The sequence below is a fragment of the Homo sapiens genome, chromosome 4 (genome assembly GCF_000001405.40).
Source record: "Homo sapiens chromosome 4, GRCh38.p14 Primary Assembly".
Classification (NCBI taxonomy): domain Eukaryota; kingdom Metazoa; phylum Chordata; class Mammalia; order Primates; family Hominidae; genus Homo; species Homo sapiens.
Window position 1 is genome coordinate 30143295 of NC_000004.12, and position 10449 is coordinate 30153743.

Sequence of the window (10449 nt, forward strand, 5' to 3'; positions counted from 1 at the left end):
CTCATACTTTACTGTCAGAAAATCTGGTACATCTCTCTTAATATTTTCTTTCTTTTTTTTTTTTTTTGAGACAGAGTCTCACTCTGTCGCCCAGGCTGGAGTGCAATGGCCTGATCTCGGCTCTCTGCAACCCCTGCCTCCTGGGTTCAAGTGATTCTCCCACCTCAGCCTCCCGAGTAGCTGGAATTACAGGCACCCACCATCAATGTCAGGCTAATTTTTGTATTTTTGTAGAGATGGGGTTTCACCCTGTTGGCCAGGCTGGTCGTGAACTCCTGACTTTAGGTGACTTTGGCCTCCCAAAGTGCTGGGATTACAGGCGTGAACCACCATGCCCGGCCAATATTTTCTACCAAATTGTCTGAGATCCTCTGCAGCTTAGTAATTTGTTCACGTATTCAGCAAATATTTGTAGAGTGCCTACTATATATCAGGCATGCACAAGGCATTCAGGATACATTAGTGAATACAGCAGTCAAACTCCCTGACCTCAGGGATCTCATATTTTTGTAAGGGGGAGCATTATTTACATTATTTACATTTGTAAGTGGAAGCATTATTATGTTAATATCAATTAACATAATTAAGAAGTAAATGAAATTGTACTTGAGAAAATAACAAGTGACATGTAAAAAAGGAGAAAAAAAATGTACAGTAGAACAAACAGGATTGTGAATGTGTGCATGTGGGAGGGTTCTGGAGAAAGCAGCAAGCTACAGTATTAAGTAGAGTGATTCGGGTAATCTTAAAAGAGAAGATGCCACCTCCTCCCAAACTTAAGGAAGGCAATACAGTTAGCAAGGAAATAGCTGTTGTAGACCAGTCCAGGTACTGAAAAGAGCTTGAACAATGCCCTAAGACAGAAGCATACCTGATCTTTGCAACGAACACAAAGAAGTCCAGTGTCTCAGAGAATGATAAGAAGAACAAGGGTGTTGAGTGTTTAAGGCCTTAGAAGTAAGGGGTTCGAGCCAGGGGAAAACACACATGCCTTTGAAAGAATTTTGGCTATTACTCTGAGTTGAAAAGGGAGGCGCAGAAAATTTATTAGCAGATGTGTTACTTAATTTAACTTAAATTTTGAATGAGCAGTGGCTGTTTTTAAAGCTTAGATTGTAGTTCTGCTCGGAGATAACCCAGGCAAGAAATATTGGTTGCTTTCGGCCAGAGTGGGACAGTTCAGTAGTTCCAAGTGTCCTGATACTAAATATATTGTAGGAACAGCCAGTAGGATTTCATGACAGATTAGAATATTTGACTTGATAAAAGAGTAAAAATTCACCCCCAGGAATTTGACCTAAGCAAGTTAAAAAATGCTATCAGCAACAACAGAGGTGGGGAAAGTAGTAAGTAAAGCATGTATGGAAGATTAGGAAATCAGTTTAGGATGTATTGAGTTACATGCTTCTTAGACATCCTGTAGGCAGCTTGATATACGAGTTGAGAGTTTAGGCAGTGGAGTTCACAGGAGTCCATCTCAGTTTCCTAACAAAAGATAGAGAAGAGGGCCGGGCATGGTGGCGCACGCCTGTAATCCCAGCACTTTCGGAGGCCGACGCAGGCGGATCACGAGGTCAGGAGATCGAGACCATCCTGGTTAACATGGTGAAACCCCATCTCTACTAAAAAAATACAAAAAATTAGCCGGGCATGGTGGCGGGCGCCTGTAGTCCCAGCTACTCGGGAGGCTGAGGCAGGAGAATGGCGTGAACTCGAGGGGCAGAGCTTGCAGTGAGCCGAGATAGCGCCGCTGCACTCCAGCCTGGGTGACAGAGCGAGACTCCGTCTCAAAAAAAAAAAAAAAAAAAGAAAAATCATTTTGAGGTCTGAAATAGTTTTTTTAATAGCTTAATAATTTTGTCACATAAAATTAATACTATGTAATTTTTTTTGAATTATCTTACGTTATGGTGCAACTGAAATCTATGATTGGATGAAACAAGTTGATTGCAATTAGGTAAAGAATTTTCATTTCGTTATAAACTTAGAATTAGTTGAATTTTCAGTAAAATAGCATACTCACCACTAGAATATAAATTGAAAGAAAAACGTAAGTATTCATCTTTGGTAAAGAAAAGCCAATAGGTTAGCAAAAGCTTAGCACATAAGTTAGTAAGTAATAAAAAAATAAAGAGTTTTCCAGAGTGTGGTAGTAGTTTACATTCCTTCCATTATTATATGAGAATCTCACTTGTTTTACATTAAATTTTCTTTAGTATTTACAATTGCAGTCATTCTAATGGTTGTTAAATGGTATTCCATTATAGTTGTAATTTGCAGATCCTGATAAATAAGCATGTTAATTATTATTCATCTTCTTATTTGACATTGGTACATCTCCTCCAATAAACTCTGTGTTCAATTCTGTTGCTCATGTTTTAAAAATTAAATTTTTATATTCTTATTTTTCAACTGTAAGACTGTTTTCTCAATAGAAGTAATTTTATATGTAAGATCAAAGCACCAGCAGATTCTGTGTCTGGTGAAGACCCATATTCTGGTTCATGGATGACTCCTTCACTCTATTTTCACATAGTGGAAGGGGCAAGGCAGTCCTCTGAGGCCTCTTTTATAAATGCAGTAATCTTACCATGAAGGTTCCACCTACACAACCTAATCATCCATCTACCAATAGCTTCACCTTCTAATGGCATCATATTGATAATTAGGTTGCAAAATAAAACTATAGGAATGACATACACATTCAGACCTTTGTACCATCCTTCGAGGTCAAGTTCTAATTTCTTAATAAATGTTATTATTTGGCATTGGTTATAGATAGTTTTCTCTGCAAGGATTTTCATGCATCTTTTTTTTTTCTTTCATTAACAGGAGTCCTGTGTAGACTAGGAAATGGAGGAACCGTATCTTAAAGAATTATCACTAGGCCCGGTGCAGTGGCTCATGCCTGTAATCCCAGCACTTTGGGAGGCCAAGACGGTCACATCACCTGAGGTCTGGAGTTTGAGACCAGCCTGACCAACATGAAGAAACCCCGTCTCTACTAAAAATGCAAAATTAGCCAGGTGTGGTGGCACATGCTTGGAATCCCAGCTACTCAGGAGGCTGAGGCAGGGGAATCACTTGAACCTGGAGGCAGAGGTTGGGGTGAGCCGAGATAGCGCCATTGCACTCCAGCCTGGGCAACAGGAGTGAAACTCCATCTCAAAAAAAAAAAAAAGTAAAAAAAAAAAGAATTATAACTCTACAACTCAATAGCAAAAAGACAAATAACCTTTTATAAATGGGCAAATGACCTGCATAGACATTTCTCCAGAGAAGACAAAAATGGTCATCAGGCATATGAGAAGACGCTCAACCTTACTAGAAAATGCAAATCAAAATCAGGGAAATGCAAATCAAAACTACCAGAGGCCAGGCATGGTGGCTCATGCCTGTAATCCCTGCACTTTGAGAAGCTGAGGCAGGAGGGTCGCTTGAGTACCGGAGTTCAAGACTAGCCTGGGCAACTTAAGGAGACCCCATCTCTACAAAACAATGACAACAACAACAACAACACAATATTACTGCACACTCTTTGAGAGTCTGAGGCAGGAGTATTGCTTAAGCCCAGGAGTACAAGACCAGCAATATTGCAGGTAACATAGTGAAATCCCATCTCTACAAACAAACAAAAAACACAATGGGATATTACCTCACACCTTTTAGGATGGCTATTATTAAAAAGGCAAGAGATAACAAATATTGAGGGTGTGGAAAAAAGGTAGCTCCCTTGTACACTGCTGGTGGAAATGATGGTTGGTGCAGTCATTGTGGAAAACAGTATGGAAGTTTCTAAAGAAAATACAAATAGAGTTATCATATGACCTAGCAATTCTTCTTCTGCATATATACACAAAGGAAATGATATTATGAACTTGTAAAGACTCTCATATTCATTGTAGCATTATTCACAATAGCCAAGATATGGAAACAACCTACATGTGCGTTAAATTTGATGATATTGATAGATACATAGATAATTATGCAGCCTTAAAAGAGGAGAGCTTGCCATTTGTAACAACATAGGTAAAACTAGAAGACACTATGCTAAGAGAAATAAGTTTGACAGAAAAAGACTGACTGATCTCACTTGTATGTGGAATAAAAAAATGGATATATAGAAAGAGTAGAAAGGTAGTTACCAAGGAAGATGTATGCAGCAAAATGTACAAAGTTGCAATTCTGTCAGGTGAATAAGCCTGGAGATCTACTAGAGAGTATGAGGAATATAGTTAATAATACTGCCAATTTGCTAAAAGAGTAGATTATAGTTACTCTTTACACATTCACACACACACAAAAATGCACAAGAAAGTGACTATGTGAGGTGATTGATATGTTAGTTTGCTTGACTAGTCATCACTTTACTATGCATATGTATATCAAAATATCATGTCATATACCTTAAATATATGCACTACATTTAAAAAATATACATATAACTCTCACCATATGACTAGCAAAACCTCTGAGGACTAGGCTCTGAAATTTTTATCTTGCCCAAATTCCTACCTAAGGGGTCTGGGGAGTCATACCCTACAAACTATAAATTCTCATCAGACTGGTTTAATGGAACTCTGTGTATCATGACTTGCTTTCCAATCTGACTCTGGCATAACAAAGAAGAAAGTCAAAATATCTTACCATAAAACATATTTCTTTGCCATATTTTGAAATGGCCCTGTAAAACTGTCCTTTTTGGGGGAAATTTTGCATCTGTAAAGCACCTCTATTAACATAGCTAGATCTTTTTCTTCCAGGCCCTCCCAATCCTGAAGAGAATAACTAAGAGTCTAGCACCTTTTAAATGTCTCAATAGGAAACATTTGTCATCTATTCTCTATTCTAAGGGCAGCCACTATAAGACTTCAAAAGAAACTTGGCCTTGGCAATCTTTTATCTTAACCTGAAGGTTTCCTTTCTACGGACACCCCCACCCCGCAACAACCCGCTTTCCCACTTTGAGTTGTCCCGCCTTTCTGGACCAATCATATTTCTTAAACATATTCGATTGCTGTCTCATGCCTCCCTAAAATACATATAAAACTAAGCTGTGCCCTGACCACCTTGGGCACATGTTCTCAGGACCTCCTGAGGGCTGTGTCATGGGCCATGGTCACTCATATTTGGCTCAGAATAAATGTCAAAATATTCTACAGAGTCTGACTCTTTTTGTCAACACCTCGCATATAAAATTTAAAAAATGAACCTTTATAAGATAATGGTAACCAAAGTCACAAAAGCTAACAGCAGGCATTTTTCTAAATTACTCTTTCAATTATGTCACTCGGGTACTTTTACTCTGTGCATTTTACATGAGAACACTGAATGTTAAAGAACCTGTCCAGGTTCATAATTCTAATAGTGGTGGTGTTGGGAATAAGCTTAGGTGAACTGATTTCAGAATACTTTAGAACAATTAGACTGTATGACTTCTTATTATAGATAATGATAATGTAAAATTTCTTTTAAATTTAGGTAAAAAGCGCTATTACATCTTTCACTGGCGTCTGTGTGAAGAGAGCACCAAACAGGCTTTGTGTGAGCAATAAAGCTTTTTAATCACCTGGGTGCAGGCAGGCTGAGTCCGAAAAGAGAGTCAGTGAAGGGAGACAGGGGTGGGGCCATTTTATAGATGTGGGTAGATAGTGGAAAATTACAGTCAGAGGGGGTTGTTCTCTGGCGGGCAGGGGCGGGGTCACAAGGTGCTCATTGGGGGAGCTTTTGAGCCAGGATGAGCCAGGAGAAGGAATTTCACAAGGTGATGTCATCAGTTAAGGCAAGGACCAGCCATTTTCAGTTCTTTTGTGGTGGAATGTCATCAGTTAAGGCAGGAATGGCCATTTTCACTTCTTTTGTGATTCTTCACTTGCTTTGGGTTATCTGGACGTATATGTGCAGGTCACAGGGTATACGATGGCTTAGCTTGGGCTCAGAGGCCTGACAAAATCTGTTTTTGTTTGAATATATATAGTCTATGTTCCAGCCTTTCTAATGTCAGACAAAATTGAAATCTCCTTAAATTGATTATAACAAAAGCAACAAAACCTCTGATTAATAAAGTTTTCCTTATAAATTATTTTATATCAGGATAAAACAAAGCGCCATTGAAATTTTTATGGGCCAAAGCTGGGATCTCAATCATTACATCTCCGGTTGCTAAGAAAATAATGAAAATGTATTTGAATAACTTTAAGGGATTAATAAAATATTTCTGGCTTTAGTGCTGATATATATGATTTAGTAATGGCAATATATGAATATATGTGCTGACTGTCAGGCCTCTGAGCCCAAGCTAAGCCATCATATCCCCTGTGACCTGCACATACACATCCAGATGGCCGGTTCCTGTCTTAACTGATGACATTCCACCACAAAAGAAGTGAAAATGGCCTGTTCCTGCCTTAACTGATGACATTGTCTTGTGAAATTCCTTCTCTTGGCTCTTCCTGGCTCAAAAGCTCCCCTACTGAGCACCTTGTGACCCCCACTCTGCCCGCCAGAGATTCGCTGACTCTCTTTTCGGAGTCAGCCCGCCTGCACCCAGGTGATTAAAAGCTTTATTGCTCACACAAAGCCTGTTTGGTGGTCTCTTCACATGGACGCGCAAGAAACTGACTATTTAAAAATTAATAGTGTACACAATGGTCTTTTTTTGGCTTTTTTTCCAGAAACTTCTGCATCTAAATTCAAATACTCTTCCTGCTCTCCAGTGGAAGTCAGTGAGCTGCTCTTGCTTCTGCCTGGGGCCAGTTCTTCTAACTTGTACCCAGGATCACTTCCCCTGTTCCCTCAAAAGAACATCTCTCCAGGCATTTCTCCTCTGTCTTTCACATCATCTTTTTTCCACTTCTGGGAATGATTCGCCTCCTCTTAGCAAATGGTGATTTTTCTTCTTTCTATTTCTACCCGATCTCTACTCAAATGCTACCAAAGGTCCCACCCATATTAGTTTCCTATGGCTGATGTAACAAATTACCACAAAGTTGATGGTTTAAAATAAACAAACAAAAAACCCTACAGTTTTAGTCTCTTGGATTTGTGGGTTAGAAATCCAAAGTGAGTTTCAAGATGTTAGCCGAATTGGGCTCTCTCTAGCAGTTCTAAGTGAATATCCCTTTCCTTGCCTTTTTCAGTTTCTAGAGCTGCATTCCTTGCATCCCTTGGCTTGTGGACTTTTCTTACCCAATCAAAATGAGCATCATGGCATTATATTTTAATTATCACATTGCTTTCTTTTGGATGCCAAAATTCCCCTTGTTCCCCTAAGTGTCCTTGTGATTATACTTAATGTCAGGCCTCTGAGCCCAAGCCAAGCCATCATATCCCCGTGACCTGCATGTACACATCCAGATCTCCGGTTCCTGCCTTAACTGATGACATTCCACCACAAAAGAAGTGAAAATGGCCTGTTCCTGCCTTAACTGATGACATTGTCTTGTGAAATTCCTTCTCCTGGCTCATCTTGGCTCAAAAGCTCCCCAACTGAGTACCTTGTGACCCCCACTCCTGCCTGCCAGAGAACAACCCCCCTTTCTCCTTTACCTACCCAAATCCTATAAAATGGCCCCACCCCTATCTCCCTTCGCCGACTCTCTTTTGGGACTCAGCCCGCCTGCACCCAAGTGATTAAAAGCTTTATTGTTCACACAAAGCCTGTTTGGTGGTCTCTTCACAGGACGCGCATGAAACTTAATACCTATTTGGGTAATCTCGAATAATCTCCTCATCTCAAGATCCTTAATTTAATGACATGTGCAATGCTTTCTGAGTGTGCCAGCTCCCTGGATGCTCTCTTGCACACCAACCTCAGCTTTTGCATCTATTACTTCCTTTAACCTGAATGCTCTCTTCTAGAAAACCACTAGGCTCACTCATTCACTTTCCTTTTATCTCTTCCACAATGTTGCATTATTAGAGAGTTCCCATAGCAAATAACAGAATATGATAACACCTCCCCCATTTCCTTTATTTTCCTGACCTAGCTTTGTCTTTCCTCTGTAGCATGATAATCCCCCAACATGTAATTTTTTTTTTTTTTTTTGAGGCAGTCTCACTCTGTCGCCCAGGCTGGAGTGCAGTGGCATGATCTCAGCTCACTGCAACCTCCGCTCCCAGGTTCAAGTGATTCTCGTGCCTCAGCTTCCCGAGTAGCTGGGATTACAGGCACCCACCTCCATACCTGGCTAATTTTTTGTATTTTTAGTAGAGACGGAGTTTCACCATGTCAGCCAGGATGGTCTTGATCTCCTGACCTCATGATCTTCCTGCCTCAGCCTCCCAAAGTGTTGGGATTACAGGCATGAGTCACCGTGCTCGGCTAACATGTAAATATTTTTTGTCTTTCTCCACTATACTATGAGCTCCATGAAGACAAATAGAGTACTGGACAAATTTTATGTCCAGAAAAGAGCTCAGCATTTGAGTAAATAATTTCCAGTCCATAACTCCTGGAATAGCAATTTACCTTTCTAATTCAACAAGAAAATATATGGATGTTATGAATAAATGTAGTTAAAATAACAGATAGTGACTTATTTTCAAAGGAAAGTCCAAAAAAAAAATGACAAGATGGATAATTCACTCACATCTTTCACAAATCGCACCAAATGGATGCGTATTTATCTCTAGGATGAGTATGAAAAGCATTGAGAAAACATTTTGTTTCTGCCACTAGTTTCCCTCAAACATTAACTCATAAAAATTTTCAGGAAAAGTACACTCGAAGACTGAATAGCTTTTGTTGCAATCACTTTTTTACTCCAGTAAGACAACATAGATGATGTTAAAGTCTGGCTTAATATTAATGCAAACTTTAAAAAGAAAAATAAATTTAGGAAAAAATGGCATAGTATTTGGATACAGTTAACATAATTTTGGATAAATCTGTCACCTATTTACTATTTGACATTTTCTGAAAGTACTTTAAGAAAGTCTCTTTAAGCTGTTAACCCATTTTCTCATCTGAAAAAATAATGAAACACGTATTGGCCATTAGATACAAGTTAAATCTGTGTCATTGATTTGGAAACTGTAAATCTCAACACTATTATTTTTATTAAAGCAATAATATTCATCTCTGCTTTTAATATTTCTCTTTCTTCAAAAAGTAATTTTGCTCAAAGACTAAACTTCATAAACTTGTAGATAAGAGAAAGATGAAATAATACAGAAAAAGTGCATTTGAAAAATCTTTCAAACTGAGCCAGAAAAGGGGGTAATTAAAATTATTTGAATATCCAGATGTTCTGAATATTGTGATACAGTTTTGCATATGCTATTTTTTAATCCCCAGGTTAGCCAAATTTATACAAAATTTGAAATTTACAGTATTAATTTTTTCAAAGACACAAGAAGAATTATATATATTCCTTTGAGGTTAAGCAAATCAAGTTGTTTAATCTCACAACTTGTCTTTTTACCCCAGTTATTACTTGGATTTTTTGATGAAGCGATATTGGTGGTCCAACTATTTCCATATAACTGAAAAACTTATAAATACTACTTTCCTTTTATAGCACTCAAATATAACCTTTAATATTAAGTTATTCAAAGATTATGGTCTGCCTACATTTTCTACAATATCCATTTTTGACTGATATTCTTATGGGATCTTTTGAGTGTCAATTTTCTGGCTGAAAACCTGTGGCCAGTGGCACCTTTGCCTGAGTTCTTGTCCTGCGTCCAGGAAGCACGAGGTATGCAGACAAGTGAAGGGGGAACAAGGCAAAGATGAGCTTTATTAAGTGTTAGAACAGCTCAGAGGAGACCTACAGTGGGTAGCTCCCCTCTGTAAGCAGGTCATTCCATGGAGTGTTCACCTCTCAGCAGACAGGAGGCCCTTGAGAAGGTAGCTCCTCTCTGCCTTCAGTTGCCTGATGTCTGCAGCTCTCAGCAGAGAGTAGGCACTGGAGAGAGTGGCTTCTCTCTGCTGGCAGGTCATCCCATCATCTGTGCAGCTCTCAGCAAAGAAGGTAATTCCTTTCTGCAGCTGGCTGTCCCATCACCTCCAGCTTTCAGCAGATAGGGTACATCCTCTCTGCAGCTGTTCTTCCCTTCCTCTCTGTCCTCTTCATTCTCTGCCCTGCCCTGGCTGAGCTCGGGCTTTAATGGGTCTCAGAGTGAAGAAGTGCATGCTGAATGGCTCATGGGCAGCCATGGTTGGGCCCAGAGAAAAGCACCATGAGTTCCCCCTCCAGCCCACAGGACTGGCATCCCAGCCCCCAGGCTTCAGGCCTGCCCTGGGCCTGAAGGTGAGGCTTCACTAGGGACCCGCCCCCTTCCACCTAGGAGCCTGTCTGCCTCCCAGAGTCATCCATGGCACACAGGCTGCTGGCACCAAGGGGCACCTGCAGGACAGCACCTGGCTGCCCTCAGCACCCCCCGTTAGGTTCCCCTCCTATGCTCCTTGACACCCAAAGTACAGAGAGGGCTGAGGCAGCAGAA

The 10449-nt window shown here is 40.0% G+C and overlaps 3 annotated features.

The window, feature by feature from the left end:
* Positions 4570–5109: an enhancer, noted in NCBI's record as "NANOG hESC enhancer chr4:30149486-30150025 (GRCh37/hg19 assembly coordinates)". NCBI's record gives its function as "activates a minimal SCP1, AML or CMV promoter by ChIP-STARR-seq in naive H9 embryonic stem cells {active_cell/tissue: H9 hESC(naive)}" and the evidence as "EXISTENCE:reporter gene assay evidence [ECO:0000049][PMID:30033119]".
* Positions 6143–6766: an enhancer, noted in NCBI's record as "OCT4-NANOG-H3K27ac hESC enhancer chr4:30151059-30151682 (GRCh37/hg19 assembly coordinates)". NCBI's record gives its function as "activates a minimal SCP1, AML or CMV promoter by ChIP-STARR-seq in naive and primed H9 embryonic stem cells {active_cell/tissue: H9 hESC(naive and primed)}" and the evidence as "EXISTENCE:reporter gene assay evidence [ECO:0000049][PMID:30033119]".
* Positions 9642–10239: an enhancer, noted in NCBI's record as "H3K27ac-H3K4me1 hESC enhancer chr4:30154558-30155155 (GRCh37/hg19 assembly coordinates)". NCBI's record gives its function as "activates a minimal SCP1, AML or CMV promoter by ChIP-STARR-seq in primed H9 embryonic stem cells {active_cell/tissue: H9 hESC(primed)}" and the evidence as "EXISTENCE:reporter gene assay evidence [ECO:0000049][PMID:30033119]".